Source organism: Homo sapiens, chromosome 2 (genome assembly GCF_000001405.40).
Source record: "Homo sapiens chromosome 2, GRCh38.p14 Primary Assembly".
NCBI classification, from domain to species: domain Eukaryota; kingdom Metazoa; phylum Chordata; class Mammalia; order Primates; family Hominidae; genus Homo; species Homo sapiens.
This window is the reverse complement of record NC_000002.12, coordinates 169,890,260-169,911,305: the sequence shown is the minus strand read 5'-3', so window position 1 is coordinate 169,911,305 and position 21,046 is coordinate 169,890,260. Positions and strand designations below refer to the sequence as shown.

The 21,046-nt window shown below is 35.9% G+C and overlaps 1 protein-coding gene across 1 annotated transcript in view; it reads right to left on the bottom strand.

Moving 5' to 3' along the window:
• Positions 1-21,046, bottom strand: part of UBR3 (ubiquitin protein ligase E3 component n-recognin 3) — a 256,678-nt gene that overhangs the window by 172,826 nt on the left and 62,806 nt on the right. The window contains exons 6-10 of the mRNA NM_172070.4: positions 20,075-20,141; positions 15,995-16,125; positions 14,571-14,799; positions 6,013-6,192; positions 5,142-5,275 (exon numbers count right to left, since the gene is read on the bottom strand). Coding sequence (NP_742067.3) covers positions 5,142-5,275; positions 6,013-6,192; positions 14,571-14,799; positions 15,995-16,125; positions 20,075-20,141 — 741 coding nt within the window. The remainder of the gene's footprint in view (positions 1-5,141; positions 5,276-6,012; positions 6,193-14,570; positions 14,800-15,994; positions 16,126-20,074; positions 20,142-21,046) is intronic.

The following is a 21,046-nucleotide window of genomic DNA, read 5'->3' as shown; positions in this document are numbered from 1 at the left end:
ATCAAGTCTGTAGTAACCTATAGTTGCCACCAGATGAAGATTTTGCAGCTTATTTTTCTCCTCAGAAAGCAAGTATCAGTAAAATTCTAGAAACATGTCATCCTCTTATCCAATCTTCATGTCATTAGTTAATCGAGCATTAAAAGTATGATGCTCTACTGACTGAGCTATCTGGGTAGTATTACTTTTTTTAACTAGCCCTTAATGTTTTCAAGAATCAAATAGCATTCAGTGCAATCATACAAAGACAGTAATTTATCAAGTGAAGTTTCCTTTTAAATTACTTAATCCTTAAGTTTTATATTTTACAGTAGAAAATTTAAACAGAGAAATAACATTTTTTCCTATAAATAATAGTGTTTCTTCTAGTTTATACTTCTAAACCCTGACAGCACTGCAGCTAAAAAGCTTTGGAAATTCTGGCTTTAAAAACAGTAACAGCAAAGTGATAAATAGCATTGGTTTTTAAATTAGATAAATTTGCTTTCAAATTCAGCGTCTACTTATAGCTATGTGAACTTAAGTCATTTAACCTCTGAAAGAACAGAATGATGCCATGTACTTTATAGGAGATGCAATGAATGTTAGATAAGAATATATGAAAAGTGCCTAGAACAATGTCTCACATAGTGTAAGTGCTCACGAAGAGAATGTCTTATCTAGGAACCAGACGCTCCTATAACTGAGAAGTTACTCTCTCAGATACTGCCAGGACAACAGGAGCCTGTTTTCTCTCTGTTATCTTTACTTCATAGATTAGGTGAATCATACTGCATTGTAATTCTAGCCTTGAAAGCTGAAATATGAACTACTGCCCGGAAATAATGATTTTTCATTATCAAAGAGATAAACATAACCTCAGCCTCATAATTAAAATTCATCCTAAACACAGTAGTCAGAATAATCTTCCTAAAATATTGATCTTTTTATATCAATATCATATCAACCCACTTTACTGAGGCTCGGTCTTCCGTGGGCTTACATACATGACATGGCATTCTTCTGATTTTTCTCTTCTCCCTGTCCTTAATATCTAAATGTCAGTTCTTTCTTCGGGGTTCACATCTCTTTTCTCCCTATTTAATCTCATCCATCCCTTGGTGATAAATATCTTCTATATGCCGAAGGGTCTAGAATGTATAACCTCAGTCCAGACTTACTTTTTGAGCATGAGACTTATATATCCAACTGCCTATTCACTATTTCTACTTGGACATTTCACGGACATCTCAAACTTAACCTATTTAAAGCTAACTCTGATCTCTCTAAACTTGACATTCTCTCAGTCTTTACTAGCTTTGTAAATAGCACTTCCATACACAGTTACTCAAAAGTCTCTCTCTCTCATCAACAATGTACAATCCATCACCAAGCCTGTAGATTCTACCTCAAAAATACATCTTGAATATCCAAAATATACTTTGAATATATACATATCAAATATATGCTACCTGAATTTCATGTTTAGACTATTGTCACAGCATGTTTTTATTTAATTGACAAAAAATAAACACATGTATTTATGGGGTACAATGTGATGTTTCAAGATATATATATATATATACACACACACACATGCATTGTGGGATGGGTATATCAAGCTAATTAACATATCCATCACCTCAGACATTTATCATTTTTTGTAGTGAGAGCATTACAAATCTATTCCTTTAGCAATTCTGAAATGTAAAATACATTATTATTAACTATAGTCACCATGTTGTGCAATAGATTTCAAAGTTATTCCTCCTCCCTAGCTAAAACTTTGTACCCTTTAGTCAAAATCTCCCCATTTCCCACTCCCTCAGCCCCAGCTTCTGGAAACCAACATTCTACTCTCTACTTCTATAAGCTCAACTTTTTCAGATTCTACATATAAGTGAGATCAATTTACCATAGCCTCTTAATTGGTCTATTTACTCCTGGTCTTGCTGCTTCCCACCCACGCTACTCCTGCTCAAATCCAGTCTTCTCCAGGAACAGAATGATCTTTTAAGTGTAAATCTGATCACATTAAACCCTTGCTTAAAAATCTTCAGTGGCTTCTCCTTAAAACTGAATCCAAGAGTACTTAACATGATCTGCGAATACCTGCAATAATAATCTGATCTCTGCCTATCTCTCCAACTCCAACTTGTTTACTCTGTGGTTCCAGCCACAAATTCCTTAAAAGGACCAATCAAGGCCGGGCGTGGTGGCTCACGCCTGTAATCCCAGCACTTTGGGAGGCCGAGGCAGGCGGATCACGAGGTCAGGAGATTGAGACCATCCTGGCTACAGTGAAACCCCGTTTCTACTAAAAAAAATACAAAAAATTGGCCGGGCTTGGTGGCGGGCACCTGTAGTCCCACCTACTCGGGAGGCTGAGGCAGGAGAATGGCGTGAACCCGGGAGGCAGAGCTTGCAGTGAGCCAAGATTGTGCCACTGCATTCCAGCCTGGGTGACAGAGCAAGACTACGTCTCAAAAAAAAAAAAAAAAAAAAGGACCAATCACTTTCCTACTGAAGGTAGGCTATTCCCTCTTATCTCCCCCACGACAAACACTAACCCCAATTTAATATTCACAGAGCTGGGTCCTTCATATTCTCTCTTCATAAACGCATTCTCTGATACTCAAATCTTCAGTCCTCATACTCATTACTCTCCCTCATAACAACCTGTTATTTTCCCAAAGAGCACTTACAAAAGCTTCTGAAGTAAATCGATGTGTTTACTTACTTAAGATTTATCTCCCCTATGAGAGCAAGAACCATATCTATTTGGTTCAGTACCAAAAACTTAAGCATCTAAACAATGTCTGGCATATATTTTTTGAATAAATGAACAAACAAACCTCATATTATATGACAGTTTCTTGATAAATGCTACAGTGGAAATTAAACAAGGTACACTATGAAAACAAACCTGACTGGAGGAATAAATGAGTAGATTATATATCTGAGTCTTGAGAATTTTTTAAGAAAACTTTAAAATTTCAAAGAGTTAACATTAATTGTTCTTCATTTTGGTTAGAATCACTACACAGGTCCCACTGCATATCAAATGAATCAAAACCTCTGACACTGGGGCTTATGCATACATATTTTTTAAGCTTCCAAGATAACTCTCATGCAAGAAAAACTCTGAGCCAACAAAAGAGAATGAAAGACCATATGCCAAAGAAAGAGACCAGCTTGAACAAAAGCACAGGAATCAAGAAAGGACACTGCATGTTGGGGAATAATAATCAATCCAATAAAGGCATGGAGGGAGAGGGGGTATAAGAAGATGAATTATAGGCTGAGGTGGGCAGATCACCTGAGGTCAGGAGTTTGAGACAAGTATGTGCAACATGGTGAAACCTTGTCTTTACTAAAAATACAAAAATGAGCCAGGCATGGTGGTGCACACTTGTAATCCCAGCTACTTGGGAGGTGGAGGCAGAAGAATCGCTTGAACCCAGGAGGCAGAGGTTGCAGTGAGCTGAGTTCGCACTCCAGCCTGGGTGACAGTGAGTGAGACTCCATCTCAAAAAATAAAAAAAAATTTAAAAATTAAAAAAAAAGATAACGAATTATGAGAGACAAGTTGAGGGCAACTTGTGGAGAATTTTAAATGTCTCTATAGGAAAAACAGATGTTATCCTGTAGATTGATGAGAACTTGAATGATTTTTAAGTAAAGGAGAGGGAGATATATAGAGCTTAGAAAAGTAACTTTGGTATTGAGACAGATTACAGTAGAAAGGGTCTAGAAACACGAAAACCAGTTAAGAAATTACCTTAATAATCCATATTTTTAAAATACAGAGAAATAAAGGAAAAAAGCAGGAGAGGAATATTTCTAGAACGAAAGATTCTTAGTATCTGCTTACAGGTTAAACACAGCTAGCACAGCAAGGGAAGAAAGTTTCCAGAATGGACAATTACATAATTTAAGATACCATTAAATGACAAAAAGGGCACAAAAGGAAATATCATATGGACAGATAGTTTTTAAAAGTTAATTCAGAACCTGAGAAAATTCATGTACCTACAAGGGGATCTACATGAATAATCAGACCTGTTAGAAATTTGAACCGGGACAACATGGTGAAACCCTGTCTCTACAAAAAATACAAAAATTAGCCAGGTGTGCCGGTGCACACCTGTAATCCCAGCTACTCGGGAGGCTCAGGCAGGAGAATTGCTTAAACCTGGGAGATGGAGGTTGCAGTAAGCTGAGATGGTGCCACTGCACTCCAGCCTGGCAACAGAGAGACTCCCTCTAAAAAAAAAAAAAAAAAAAAAAGAAAGAAATTTGAACCTAGTAAGATTGTAACAAGGCTGTAAGTCATCTGCATTTAGAGAATGGCTGAACTAACAAAAGAAAGTATAAATCTACTTAAAGAAACACATACGCTTAAGTGGTAGATGGAAGACAGCTTCACAATAACAAAGAGCAGGCTTTACTGTCCCATTTCTCTTTCACTTTGTTTTTAAAAGGTCAGTAAACAGACTGAGAAATTCAAATATTTTTAAATGAGCTGACCAAGTCACGCAAGTAAAAAAGAAGCAGAGTCAAAACTAGAACCCAGGGCTTCAAAATATGTCTACTACAAAATCTTGTCCAGCATGATTACTGGTATAGAATAACAGGCTGGAACTGCATGGTGTCTATTATCAAAATTTTAGTCAAGTCTTTAGTTTAATAGGGTCAGGGGATTCCATTTGTCTGGACTGCCCAAGGTTTCTGGAGACCCATCAAACCAATGCTTATAATATTATATATTATAATATACATTATATAACAACCACTGGAAGGTTTGTGGAATTTATACTTGTTTTGTCCTTGGAATCTTGAAAGTGTAATATTGAGGACTATCCTACTCCTTGAAAGAAAGAAGCATTAGGCAACTGATAACAAATGAAACAATAAAGATGAATGTGGAGACTAATGAAGTTCCGAAGACTGTTCACAATAGCAACAGGCTGGAAAAATCTGATAATAATGAATTCCAAACTGCCTAAGAATGAAAATTACTGTCTCAGGTCAGTTTTCATAAAGCTGAATTCAATTTGAAACAAAATTAAACACTGCACATTATATACAAATGAACAAACCAATATTTTCACAAGTCTTTTTCTTAAACACAGAAATTAACAAAAATATTTCCAACATACCCTAACTTTACAATGTGATAAAAGCCCCCACATTGGCTGTGCACAGGCCTCAAGTTCAGCAGCAAAGGCAGCATAGTAGGTCTGAGACTCAAATTCCACATGCTCGTTTAGTTCTCGCTTGTTTAAGTTCATACCTGGCAAAAATTAAAGCAGATATAAACCTTGTCAAGTGGAAGCACACATTCATGTTAAATATCAAGTACATTTCCCAGTCCCAAACACATTTATGCACACAAATAGCATTACTGACACAGTACATATAGAAATAAGTAAATTACTAAAAATGAAACAATCTAGTCCTTTCAGAATTTTTTACAAACTAGGTTTTCTTAGAAACATTTTATGAATTATCTCATGTAATAAACTGAATATCTTTTGATAAGAAAGTCAAAAAAATTTTAATTGATGTTAGTTGAAAGCTTTACGTGTTACGAATCTTTCTCAGACAATAGATTTCACATTTCTAGATTAATGGTTACAAATGCTTCAAAGCCAGGCACAGTGGCTAATCCCTGTAATCCCAGCACTTTGGGAGGCTGAAGCAAATGGATTGGTTGAGCCCAGGAGTACTAGACCAGCCTGGGCAACATAGTGAGACCCTGTCTCTACTAAAAATAAAAAAATTAAGTTAAATTTGTTTAAATGCTTAAAAAGTTATACTCCTGTTTCTTTTTCAATCATTTGACATTTTTCCTAACTCCTTGGTATGTTTTATGAACAATTTATTAAAGTACTTACAAATACCAATTAAAATAATGAGCTATTTCATGTGTAGCGTGAATGATGTGCTATTGTATTTTAATTGATATTTAATAATTTAGCATTAGGAATTTTGTAAACCAAAAAATTAACAAAGGGATAAAATTCATACCTTGAAAGAAAGATACAAAGTTCATCCATGTAACTAACAAACCGTGATCCTCCAAAAATCTCTTGGCCACACTTTGATGAGAAAGAATATTAATAAAATCACTAACAAGAGGCCAGTAAGTGTTATTCTTCAGTAATGCTTCTCCACAGTTCACTACCACATGTAAACTATTTTCTTCATCTAAAAAAAGACACACACAACCCAAAAATTTCATAAGATTTTTTTAAAAAGCTTAACCAATAATACAGAATATATATACTTTAGAATCAGATATACCTAAATTCAAACCCCAGCCTTCCATTTAATACCTATATGGCTTTAGGCACAATATTTACACTCTCTGAATCAATTTCTTCATTTATAAAGTAGAAAATAAAAACATCCATCTTAAAAGAATTACATGAAGCATTAACAAAAGTACTTAGTATATCATTATAGTAATTATTACCATATGTCCAATATATGACATGATACTGAGGTAGCTGTATGTTTATAAAACCTTATTTTCTTGATTCTAATGATATAATGCAGTATTTTCTGTTGAAATCAATAAAAAATTTTTATCCCTAGATTAATCTCATTTCATCTTATCAACCAAATCTGTATGATTTCAAGAGATGTACATTTAATTGCTTTCTTCTATGCAAAAAATACATCAATACAATCTTTAGCAAACAATATTTCAAAGATAAAAAACACACATTTAAAAAAAAGAAACACACACACACACCAACTTCTTAAGCCTTGAAAAAAAAATCCTCAAAGTTTAAATACATCATTGGGGGTGGTGGGAGGATAGGCTTGTACGAAATCTTTATCATTAAAAATTATTAGTATATATGCATTCACTCTCTTTAACCTATTCCAACTTCACTGACTCACTGGACTAGGAAGTTTCCATTCCCACTGTAAAACATATTAATACCCATAATACATGGAATGCTCAAGGCTCATAGCTCATTCCCTGTACACAGGCTGGGGCGTATGGTTACCTAGAGTCAATTTTTGTTTCTATTCATGCTAATTGTTCTTTTTATCATAATTACACAATTTAGATCAAAAGTATATGAACTAATGACATATGAAAGCACAGAGAGGTATTACAGAAATTGAATCATATGCTTTTGAGAGACAATAAAATAAAAACAAGTGCCAGGAAAAAAAGCTAAAAAACCTTGGGACAGAAAAATCATAAAAGCCTAAGTATATTTTACACTCAGATTGCTTTATATTCTAACTCTATTTTAAAGAGATTAAAATTGGATCCACAGATGATGCTTTATAGATGTGCTATTTATAAAAAAGATGAGCGAGAACTCCAGTCAAGGAAATCATATCCTGAAAATACTTTGCCCAAAGTTAAAAGCCTGGAGAATGAACACACAGTTCTGTGTTTTAAGTTAAAATACAATGTTTAAGGTATATATATATTTTTTCAAAGATGGGGGTCTCACTATGTTGCCCACGCTGGACTCAAACTCCTGGGCTCAAGCAGTCTTCCCACCTCAGCCTCCTCAGTAGCTGGGATTACAAGTATGTGCCACCACACCCGGCTCATATTTTTTAAATGATTCCTCACTTTAACCAACTTATTCAACTACCTATCTACCTGTCATACTCATCAGTCAGGAGGGCCTCTACTGCACTTTTTAATTTCCACACATTAAACTTAGGTTTCAGTCCACAGAATTATTTTACCAAATATTAAATAAGTTTAACAATATCTAAGAACAGGGTCCACTGAAGTTAAGTACACTCTCTTTCAGTACTTCTCAATGGACGAGAGAGGGTCTAACTCAATGAGGAAGTAAGGACTAGGGGCTTTTTACAAATTATTTATACTAACCCCTGGCCATGACTGACAACTACTGTTCCACTTCTGAGCTAGTGAGCCATTGATATTGATGCAACAGTGCTAAGGAATGTTGGGATTTTTTTTAAGTTAAAAATTGAGAATCACTGTTCTATATAATTGAAACCAGAGGATGAATAAGCAGAATATAATTAATCAAACTCACTATTTTCATGACACTGCTTAAATACTACTGTTCTTGTAAAAAACGCCTTGGAATCATTAATGAAATAAAATGATTAGGACTTCTATTTTTACTCAAACTGGTACTTTCCTCATTACAGATATAAAGAGCAATGATTCAGTGTAAAATTAAATTCACTCATCAACAAATATTTATTGAGCACCTACTAAGGGTCAAGTTTTCAACTAATCTCTGAGAATAAAGTGATAAATAAATCAAGATTTAGATGATCTCTGTCTTCATGGAGATTAACATCTAAGAAGGCAGAATGTGATAAGGGCTGCAATGGGAAAAGTAGAGGGACTCATAAGAACAAATAAAGCGAGACTACAATTCAAGAAAAGACTTGGCTGGCCATGGTGGCTCACGCCTGTAATCCCAGCACTTTGGGAGGCCAAAATGGGCGAATCACCTGAAGTCAGGAGTTCGAGACCAGCCTCGCCAACATGGTAAAACCCCCACCTCTACTAAAAACACAAAGTTAGCTGGGCGTGGTGGCAGGCACCTGTAATCCCAACTACTCAGGAGGCTGAGGCAGGAGAATCACTTGAACCCGGGAGGCGGAGGTTGCAGTGAGCCGAGATTGTGCCACTGCACTCCAGCCTAAGTGACAGAGCAAGGCTCCATCTCAAAAAAAAAAAAAAGACTCTCCTGAGGAAGTGAAGTTTAAACTGAGGCCTATAAAATAAAGCAGGAATTAGGATTAACCAGATAAAACTAGTGATGGTGGAGCAGATGGTGCTATACGCGGAAGGAGCAGTACCTAAGAAAAGGTTAGAATCACTTGAAGAAAGAATACAGAGGATGCATGGTACAAATGAGGCTACAGGGTCTTATAAACCAGCGTCAGGACTTTAGAGTTCACATGAAGAGAATGGAAAGCCACTAGGGGGTTTTAAGAGAGAGAACATTATAAGAAGTGTAATGTAAAAAGTGACTGAAGGAGAGTGACAACAACTAGAGATAAGAGGCTTAGAGATGGCCATGGTTTGAACTATGGTGGTGGCAAAAAGATGCAGTGATGAAGAGGCTATGTAAAGATATTCAGAAGATTTGAAGGACAGAGTTGGTAATGTGTGCTATATCTGCAAGGAATAAAAAGAAGTCAAAGACAACTCCTAGGTTTTTAGGCTGCACAGCTGTTTAGATAGTTAGACAGTGGAATCAAAACACACATTCATGTGCTCATGTACATACACACACACACAAGATAATGTAAAAGCAGCCAGATTAATGGAGCAATAATGAGTCTTCGCTATGGACACTGTGTGTTTGAGGTGTTTATAGACATCCAAACAATATAGTTCAATAAGTAGTTTGATATGCAGGGAGGAAAGGCAGTCTGGGATTATGAGCATCTACAGACATTCCTATGTCATACAACACATGGTTTTAGATTCCACTTTACAAAGACTGTTTCAAAAGATAAATTCTAAAATTTCTGGGACATGAAAAATTATGAGCTATGTTTGGAACCACAAAGCATATGGTATAAAATTGAATATAAAAAAGTAAAAGTAGAAGGTAGGAATCACATACTACTATAAGGCTTTTTCCCTTTAGTCTTCAGCTATCGCTGTGGCCAAATTCTCATTGTATCAGCTCCTGTATTTATTAAAAGTATAGATAAAATTTTAAAATATCATCTAACAACAATTCAAGACAAGGCTAGATAGAGGCTGCTAAAAAATAAAAAGAAAGTACAGAGATCCTGTTGTAATATCCGTGGCTAGTTATGGGTAGTTCAGTACAGCTAAGGTTTATTCTAATACTCAGTGTAAAAATGGGAAAAGCTTATGATACTTTTAGAAAAGCAGTAAATATATATCATGATATCTTATGCTACTACTGAAAGAGGAAAAAATAGTATGGCAAAGTTTGAAGGCTTCCAAAGATAGTTTTAGAACTTGGCTGGAAATAATGTAATTTACTGCTAAAAAAAAATTATATTTAAAGATCTTACCAATCTTTATTTCAGCTTGTTGAAAATTCAATTTGTATAAGAATTTCCAGAAAAGACTAACTGCATTAGAAGCATATGTAAAAAGCAACTGATACCATATAATATGATTTCAGAAAAATATGGGAAAAGTGTGAAAAGCAGAGACACTAGGACAAAGTGCCAAGAAACACCAATATTGATAGGACAAGTAGAGAAGAGTATTGGGCCACAGAAAGAGAATCAACAGTGTGAAATGCTACTGAAAATCAAGCAAGGTAAAGTTTAAACTATGACCACTGGCTTCCTCAACATGTAGTTTACAAAAAGGGTAAACCACATAATTTATCATATAAACTGGGACGCTTTTGAGTGTAAAAGAAATTGTATTAATAACTACGTCAGACTAACAGGCATAACTTAAGGCTATTCTGGGAAAACTAGGACTATGTCTACATGAGTCATGGACAATTTTGTAGATTTCAATAGAACAATGGGAGTGAACATTAAAATGAGGTAGGTAAGGATACGAATATAAAAAGTGAGGAAAGCTAGCTATTAAAAAAAAAAAAGGGAGGCAGGTTTAAGACTCATCTTGTTCCCAAATATTCTCCCTTAAAGGCCAAATGCAAACCACATGTAATAAGCACAGCTAAATCACCTAGTGAAGAAAAGAGACTCCAGATTCTTTTAAAAGAACAGGTACTTCTAAATTTTGTTTTCTCAATTATGAATTTAAAACACCATTTTGCCGCAAAGACTGCATGACTAAAACACCAAAAGCAATGGCAACAAAAGCCAAAATTGACAAATGGGATCTAATTAAACTAAAGAGCTTCTGCACAGCAAAAGAAACTATTACCAGAGTGAACAGGCAACCTACAGAATGGGAGAACATTTTTGCAATCTATCCATCTGACAAAGGGCTAATATCCAGAATCTACAAAGAACTTAAACAAATTTACAAGAAAAAAACAATCCTATCAAAAAGTGGGTGAAGGACATGAACAGACACTTCTCAAAAGAAGACATTTATGCAGCCAACAGACATATGAAAAATGCTCATCATCACTGGTCATTAGAGAAATGCAAATCAAAACCACAATGAGATACCATCTCAGGCCAGTCAGAACGGCGATCATTAAAAAGTCAGGAAACCACAGACGCTGGAGAGGATGTGGAGAAATAGGAACGCTTTTACACTGTTGGTGGGAGTGTAAATTAGTTCAACCATTGTGGAAGACAGTGTGGCGATTCCTCAAGGATCTAGAACTAGAAATACCATTTGACCCAGCAATCCCTTTACTGGGTATATACCCAAAGGGTTATAAATCATGCTGCTATAAAGACACATGCACATGTATATTGCGGCACTGTTCACAATAGCAAAGACTTGGAACCAACCCAAATGACCATCAATGATGGACTAGATAAAGAAAATGTGGCACATATACACCATGGAATACTATTGCAGCCATAAAAAAGGATGAGTTTATGTCCTTTGCAGGACATGGATGAAACTGGTCACCATCATTCTCAGCAAACTATCACAAGGACAGAAAACCAAACACCGCATGTTTTCACTCATAAGTGGGAGTTGAACAATGAGAACACATGGACACAGGGAGGCGGACATCACACACCAGGCCGGGCAAGGGGCGGGGGGAGGAACAGCATTAGGAGAAATACCTAATGTAGATGACAGGTTGATGGGTGCAGCAAACCACCATGGCACATGTATACCTAGGTAACAAACCTGCGCATTCTGTACATGTACCCCAGACCTTAAAGTATAATTAAAAAGTAAAAAAATTTAAAAAAAACACCATTTTTGTGAAAAGTCTGTCTTTAAATATATAATAAAATATAAGAATATCATTGATACAGCTGAATGACAGCAGATACTATTTCAAAAAGGAAAAAAGAAAAAGCAATATATGTAGATAAATCTCTAGGAAAGAATAGATCATATTACATGAAGTTAGTAAAACTAAAACATAAAGCAGCTTTTAAATTTTCCTTTAAAAAGCAAAGAAGTAGGCCAGGCATGGTGGCTCATGCCTGTAATCCCAGCACTTTGGGAGGCCGAGGTGGGTGGATCACCTGACGTCAGGAGTCCAAGACCAGCCTGGCCAATGCAGTGAAACCCTGTCTCTACTAAAAATACAAAAAATTAGCCGGGCATGGTGGCGGGCGCCTGTAGTCCCAGCTACTCGGGAGGCTGAGGCAGGAGAATCAGTTGAACCTGGAAGGCGGAGGTTGCAGTGAGCTGAGATCACGCCATTGCATTCCAGCCTAGGCAACAAGAGTGAAACTCCAGCCAGGCGCGGTGGCTCACGCCTGTAATCCCAGCACTTTGGGAGGCCGAGGCAGGCGGATCACAAGGTTAGGATATCGAGACCATCCTGGCTAACACGGTGAAACCCCGTCTCTACTAAAAATACAAAAAATTAGCTGGGCGTGGTGGTGGGTGCCTGTAGTCCCAGCTACTCGGGAGGCTGAGGCAGGAGAATGGCGTGAACCTGGGAGGCAGAGCTTGCAGTGAGCTGAGATCGCGCCACTGCACCCCAGCCTGGGCGACAGAGCGAGACTCCGTCTCAAAAAAAAAAAAAAAAGAGTGAAACTCCATCTTTAAAAAAAAAAAAAAAAGGTGAAGAAGTATATTCTTTAATGTAAATAATGTATTATGCTCCCACTATACCTACAATGGGAAGGCAGACTCACAAAGTAGGTAAGAAAGAGTACAGGCTTTGAAGTTAGACAACCCGGCCTTACCACTCAGAGCTGTAAGATCACAGATCATTGACTTCAACTCCCTATGCCTCAGCTGCCTCATCTATAAAATGGAGATGACAATACCTTCAAAGAATTATTGATGGTTAAGTGATATAATGCATATAAAGTACTGAGAAAAGAGTCTAGCATATAGTTGAGTACTCTAGAGATGGTAGCTATCATAATTAGCTAGCTATTATATATAACGCATTATGCCTTGCACTGAGTTCATATCAATTTTCAGGACATGGTGTCACACCTGAGAACAGACAGATTATCAGTATAAGGAGAAAACAGGAGCTGATATGCACAAAGAGGCAAGAGTGGAACAAAGCAAGGCTCAACTATAAGATTTCTCCTCCTCAGAGAATGGAGAGGTCCTAAGATTTAATTAATCTGAAGTATTGTTTGTTGTTATTTTTAAAGTTTAGCTCCTAGTGCCAACAAGTAAAGACACATCCTATCAAAGAGTCTTTGACAGGGACTGGCTGTGTCAAGGTTAAGAATAGTAAGAGTTCTGACATTAGGAGCCAGGAAATCCTTCTTAACTGTGTCATTTGCTGGCTGTATAACCTATGGCAAATTGCTTAACTTTCCTAAGCCTCAATGTACTCATCTTTAAAGCAAGGATAATAATAATGCCAATCTCAGAGACTTGTTCAGAAGCTTAATTGAAACAATACATAAATAGTATTCAGCACAGTACCAGGTACATAGCAAATATTTAAATACTATATATTATTGGCCAAGCGTGGTGTCTCATACCTGTAATCCCAGCACTCTGGGTGGCTGAGGCAGGGGGATCACCTGAGGTCAGGAGTTCAAGACTAGCCTGGGCACCATGGCAAAACCCCATCTCTACTAAAAATACAAAAATTAGCCAGACATGGTGATGTACACCTGTTATCCCAGCTACTCAGGAGGCTGAGGCAGAACTGCTTGAACTGAACCCAGGAGGCGGAGGTTGCAGTAAGCCAAGATCGTACCACTGCACTCCAGCCTGGGGTACAGAGCAAGACTCTGTCTCAAAAAATAATAATAAAAATTATGTATGTATTTATATATGTGTGTATATACATATATACATATATACACACATATACATATATATAGAATTTAAGGGAGGTAAAGTTAAGATGAGTAACTATAGAGAAATGAGAATGGGAAGAGGTACAGAAACATTATGGCAGGTTGAAGAGTATCAACCACATAGTGGGCACAAAAGAAGAATATAAAGTTCTCACTAAGGGAGTAAAGGCAAGATTTATCCCAATTTTTAAGTTATAAAAGTATAAGCATGTAAAAATATCTAAGACTGATAGCAGCAAATTTATGATAAAAAAGCAGAAACATGTCTAATAAGGAAATGACTAAATAAATTATGGTATAGCCATGATATTAATACCTGCACTTATTAAAATGCATGTTTTTGACATGTACACTATGGCAACTTTTTAAAAAGTATTTATTGTATCTATAAATATAGTCATTACACAAAAAGAAAAGAAATATAGCAAAGTGCTAACAACAGGTATTTGTGAATAACAAAACTACAAGTGCTTTTAACTTTTTCTTTAAACTTCACTGGAAATTTTCAAAGATGTCCGTAACAAACATGTATTATTTTATAATTTTTTTAAACATAAGGTGTTTTCAAGACTAGTTATACAAAGTTCACTAATACTAGAATATGATTAATAATACTAAGTATCATTATTAGTAATATTACTAAGTATATGAAGTACACTAATAATACTAGAATAATAATACTGATAATAATAGAACTAGTGAATATAATTCTGAGTTACCTTGTAGCTCACTTTTAATAAGGCAACTTTCCATCATGTATAATAGCACAGTGACCATAATATCCAGCAGCTGACATTCTTCTGTTACCTGTCTGGCTAGCTCCTCATTGCTGAACAACTGAACACTAATATGCACAATTCTGTTAGACATTGTGTCTGATTCATGACTTTTCTTCAGTGTTTTCATAATGAAAGCATAATGCTGAACAAAAGTTTTTGTAAAAGCAACCTGTAAACATTTTAATAGAAAGGAAAAAACACATTAGTTTTAATTTTTAATTTAAAATCATTTTCAATATATCATGTTAACATTTTACAGCTATTACTAATTTATAATAATGCCCAAGATAACTTAAAAAAAATCTCGATGGTGAGGTAGTCTTTCACTTTTTTGGAACATTTGCAAAATATTTTGATGGTTAAAGAAAAAAAAAAAATTTTTTTCCCCCAAAACGGAGTCTTGCTCTGTCCCCAAGCCTGAGTGCAATGGCATGATCTCAGCTCACTGCAACCTCCGCCTCCCCAGTTCAAGCAATTCTCCTGCCTCAGCCTCCCAAGTAGCTGGGATTACAGGCACACGCCATCACGCCCAACTAATTTTTGTATTTTCAGTAGAGATGGGGTTTGGCCAGACTGATCTCAAACTCCCGACCTCTGGTGATCTGCCCACCTCAGCCTCCCAAAGTGCTGGGACTACAGACGTGAGCTACCACGCCCAGCCGTATTTATTTTTACTCTTATTTCCTTTACATGTACATTTTCTCTGGTTTTTTTTTTTAGCAGATATAAAGACACACAAAACAATGACACTATCAAAGTGTCTCTCCTAACCTACACCATAAAAATAACAGCATGCTTTATTTTCTTTTCATACACCGAGCTTCGTCATTTTGCCATAACCGTAAGATAGTAACAGGTGGGTTCTGACCCCCTGGGACTAGAAACTTCACCTGCCAACATTTGTATATGAGTCAATAACTGTTCTCTCTTTAGCAGTTGTGACCAGCAACTTTTCAACCCATGCTTTTCCCAGCCTGATCTCACAATCTAAATTCAATTGCCCCCATTAAACATTCTTATAGCACCTTGTACTCTTCTTCAGAGGATTTAGAACAATTTGTAACTACATATTTATTTCTGCAAAATAAAAATTGTGGTTTCAATGTTTGTTCCCCAGCATTCCCTCCAGACCAAGTTCCATGCAGAAAAGCAATCCTTTGGAATTCTGCTGAGTAATGCTGCTTTGCCACAAAGCTAAGACACTGTGCCTTTTGTGAAGAACTTGTGTTATCAAGAGAAGAAACTAACACTTGTTTATAGTGTTATATCAACCTTCACCTGAGAAATATATCAAAAAAAGATTTAATAATGAAAGGCAAAGAAAGAAAAGCTAAGTTCAGAAAAGCAGGAAAATATATAGATACCTTATACTCTTGATCTGGAAGCATGTTGAGTAAGAAAGTTACCATCTTTTGAGGGAATTCATATTTTATAGTCCAAAATAATAGTTCTTCTAGGAAGCTTTTATGCTTCAAAACATCCATTATGGATTGATCTGCACATGAAAAATGAAATTTATCAGTTAATGATTGAAGTTGCTCATCTCATTTTATAACTAATAACCCATAAACCATAAAATGGGAAAGTATCTAAAAGTTAAAAATATCCTTACAATAATGCAATAATATTGACAAGCTAGATTTCTATAATGTACACAGTATATAAATAAGAAAAAATTTAATGCATATATTTTAATATAAAGCAGTAAGTGGAAAAATGAATGGGGGGAATGGATGCCCTTTTTAAATAAAGGTATTCAATGGAAGAAAGCATTATCCACAAAGACATCAAGAGGATACAAGAAGTGTCAACTATGATGTACTGGCTCCAGTGACACTGCTTAAGCAGGGGCTAAACTTAGATGAGAGACTGGAAAAAACAGTATCTCACACGCATCAAAATCCTCAGGTCCAGCCCTAACTACATCACTGTTCAAGGTGTCTTCCAGGATAACCTTGTAGAGTTTTTTCAATTAACACTACCCCAGCTTTATACTTCTTCTAATATTGAATAATGTGTTCATACCACATCTCCCCAGGTAATGGGTCTAAATGAGTAACAAGCTCAGTATGTCATCACTTTCTTTACAAAACACTGCATTTACTAAGGCTTGAATCAGTCCTTATTAGATATAACTTTAACGCAGTTTTTTCATTAATAACAAGAAAAACAGCACCAAAATATCGTATTTTCTGAAGATATTATGATTTTAACTACAGAAAGGCAAAAATATCTTCCAACTCCCTAATTCCATTTCAGTGGTGACATAAGTGATATATAGTAGTGGTTAACATACAAAGACAAGTACACTGTAACACTATACATCTTTTTTTTTTTTTTTTTTTTTTTTTTTCTTAAGAGTCAGGGTCTCACTCTGGAGGCCAGAGTGCAGTGGCGTAATCATAGCTCACTGCAGCCTCAAACTCCTCAGCTCAAGTTATCCTCCCACCTTACCCTCCCGAATAGCTAGGACTATAGGTGTGCAAGACCACACCCTGCTAATTTATTTTTTATTTTTTGAAGAGACATGGTCTTGCTGTGTTGTCCAGGCTACATTTCTTTATTATTAGCAATTAAGTAATTATTTTCAAAACTCAGAATTTTCTACTTATAAAACAGAAATCTATTCTTCCTGAAACAGATCATTTCCAGGGCATGACAATGATTTAAAAACAAAAACCAAGATTGCAAGAAATGAGGTAAAATACAGTCAAAAGAATTCACTGACAGATTCAAAGATAAAAAGTAATAAAAACAGGGCCCAAGAGAATCAGGTAGCAGGAATTTAAGATTTGTAACTAAAAATTATAATATAGGCTCGGCACAGTGGCTCACACCTTAATCCTAGCACTTTGGGAGGCTGAGGTGGGCACATGGCTTGAGCTCAGGAATTTGAGACCAACCTAGATAACATGGCAAAACCCTGTCTCTAAAAAAAATACGAAAATCAGCCAGGTGGGGTGGCATGCGCCTGTAGTCCCAACTACTCGGCAGGTTGAGACAGGAGGATTGGATCGCTTGAGCCTGGGAGGCAGAGGTTGCAGTGAGCCAAGACCATGCCACTGATCATTCCAGCCTGGGTAACACAGTGAGACCCTGTGCTGAAAAAAATAAATTATAATCCACAGCACACTGCTGTACCTAATTTAATTCTCACAATTCACTTAACACAATGTGACTGATAATTTCACAGACTACCAAAATGAAAGCTCTCATTGGTAAGTGCTTCTTAATGTATTTACAAAGCTGAATAAAACTAGTACTATTAATCATAGAATTCATAGTTATGACTCTGCAAGCCTGCATTAGGCAAATGAAAAGCCTGAAGCCATCATAATTATTATTAATTGTCAAGCACTTAAAAGAAAATATACATTAACAATGTTTTAAATCAATTAAACAACCTGAATATACCAGGAAAGCTGTGGCTTCTGCTAAAATAAAAATAGTTGCAGTTATGTAGAATTCAATATTTTTATCTGCAGACCAAAAAAACTCCAGCAATGTCTTCTTTGTTGTTCTTAAAATAGGTGATGTCAGTCTCCCAAGATGTTAAAGCACGTGTTATATTGTGTAATATTATGAAAATGTAGTCAGAAATGCTTCCATTAGTTATGTTTGACTATCTTTAAATCTTGACATGACTTTTAACAATGTGTAAACTACCTTAAGTCAAATTGTAAAAAGAGATTTTTAAAGAATCATTATGTACTGTAAATGCATGACTAAAGCAAAGGTTTTAATTAAGAGAGCAGAGTTCAAGTTCTGCAACTCACTAGCTCAATAATCTTGGAATCTTGGCCATATAGTTAAAGCCCTCAAGGCCTCAGTTTCCTCACCCTTAAAATGCAGGTTTAGAGAACAGGCAGTGATGAGGTTAGCATAGTGTCTGGCCTCTTCCTTACCATTACATATTTTCTTTTCAGTGCACTTTTCAAGCTGTGGAACAAAATTCTTACAAAAATTGAGCCATTCCCCAAACTTCAGATATCTTCAAAATAAGGTCAGTTTTTGAAAACACCTGGGGTTCTAATTCACAAAGCCATTCCTTCCATGTACATACTTAAACTGAAAATGGTAACTGATGAAGTTTTAAATTTCAGTACTATTTCTTACCATTACAAGGAAGAGAAGGCACTCAATCCAAACACACATGTGAAAAAAGTTCAGGTATTTAAAAACAGACAAAGAAAAAAACACTTTAACTTAAGTCTGCATAAAAAGTATCTTCAGTCAGAGTGTGACCAGGCTGAAGGAAAACAATGACCTCTTACACCACAGCAGGTATTTTCTGGGCACCCCTAAAGCTTAAACTCAACTATGTGCCTAACAATCTCCAACTCAGATGTGTCACAAGGACTCAGTTTAATATCTGATAAGTTAAAGAGCCAGAAGGCCATATGAGTTCCTAATTTCCTTCAGACATACAGGTTCTCTGCTGAGCCAGAAAAAAGGAGAACATACCTGTATGTGTGCATCCTGGACTGCAGATCAAATTCCATACCCTTTCCTAGCAACCCCCAAGTTAAATGCAGCAGCATAGTAACTGAGACTTAGAAAAGGAACCTGCAACTCAAAGTGCCTGCATATTCCACCTTTCTAGGCAGTCCTAGATATTTCACAAGATACACTTAATCAACAGCAGAAGTAAGAAATTTATTTTCATCAAAATAACATTTTAGCCTCTGGAGACTTTCTAAACCAACCACACGTTAAGATATGAAAATCCCTGGCAAAAATCCAAAGCACAGACTTGTCAACTAATCGCAAGTATTCTAGAAAAGCTTTTAGTGACAGTCAAGTAAACATTGTGGTTAAAAGCTTAGGCTCTGGGATATGAATTTAGGATCTACCTCTCATTAGCCATAATCTCTAACATGTCTAACACATACAAAAGGTTCAATAAATATTACTCATTATTATTACTAATCTAGTCCCTCACTACAAAGCATATTTATAATACTTTCTCCTTTGAGTAAACACATGAGTCCCTACTGAGCCTTTATGACGTGTTAAGTACTATTTGTTCATTCCCTGTGTGTGTGTGTGTGTGTGTGTGTGTCTCTGTCTCTCTCTCACCATGTCATCTCCCTTGTCTTTTTTCACTCTAGAAATTGCATACCCCAGATTATAAAAGGAACTAGGCCAAACTACAAATTCACACAAAAAACACTGGAGCCAAATCAGTCAATCAATGAAAAGACTTCCTTTTGGGGGGGACTCAAATATGATAATGCATATTTTATGATGAAAATAATGAACAAAACCCAATAGTAATCGCTTAACAATACTTTCTCCAAGACTTATTAGATAAATCTAATAACATAAGCCTCCCTTCAAACAGCTTTGATGTCAGTATGGCTAGCCCATCAAGTATTTTTAGTGATTAGGCATTTTTTAGAAGCATTTTATTCAAGGAAAAAAATAATAATAAATACAAATACCTTTGGTGCCACTGCTTAGTTTTACCCTTTTTCTCTTGCCCAGACCTTGACTACCATCCTGATCATCCTGAAGGAAAATAATATTAGCATTATACACAGTCACATTCATAAATTGATACACTTTATAAATGTGCTTACAAATTACATTAAACACATAATATATGCATGCTTACATACTACTAATCAACATCTATGTATTTGCTATAATATATATTTTAGTGTTAATTTTGATTTTAAAATACAGTGAAATATCCCTAAATATCAAAACACAAGAGCTCTTAAATGTAATCTCTGCTTCTAATGGAAGACTCTTAAGTACCCCAAAATGCCAAGATAAAAATTTTCCTAACCTTATAAATTAACATCGAATGCACAAAGAAGCTAAAGGGTGGAATGAGAGAGATTATTATAGGAAGGTAGGAGAGAAGAGGAGAGGACTAAAACAATGAATAGAGGAAAGGCTTTGAAGGGTCTAAGAAAAAATGAGTTCAACAAATCAAATTTTGAAAAATAAATACAACATATTAGAAGTTGGAGTTGACAGTTAAAAATAATAATAAAAACAAATTAAAATATGCTTAGAAAAAAAATCCAAAAAGGAAATACATTCTGCTCAATGATATATATACATATATATACATATATATATACATATATATATATACACATATATATATATATATATATATATCTCTCTCTCTCTCTCCTAGAAAAACCTCGCACTAAAAATAACAAGGCTTATGGGGAAAAAAAAGGGTAAGGGATGGACACTCACAACCTATTCAAGTTTGTAACCAGAGAAGTAACAAAAGCAGTAATTGGTACCTGGGAAGATCATTTGCAGGCCCAGGCAAACATCATGTGGTGGTTTAAGGCTAGATCAGAGCATGTTAACACTGTACAACAGAGTAAAGAAAGCCAGCCAACTATGACAATGCAGAGGGAAGAGGAGCAAAGAAGGCAGCCCGCCTC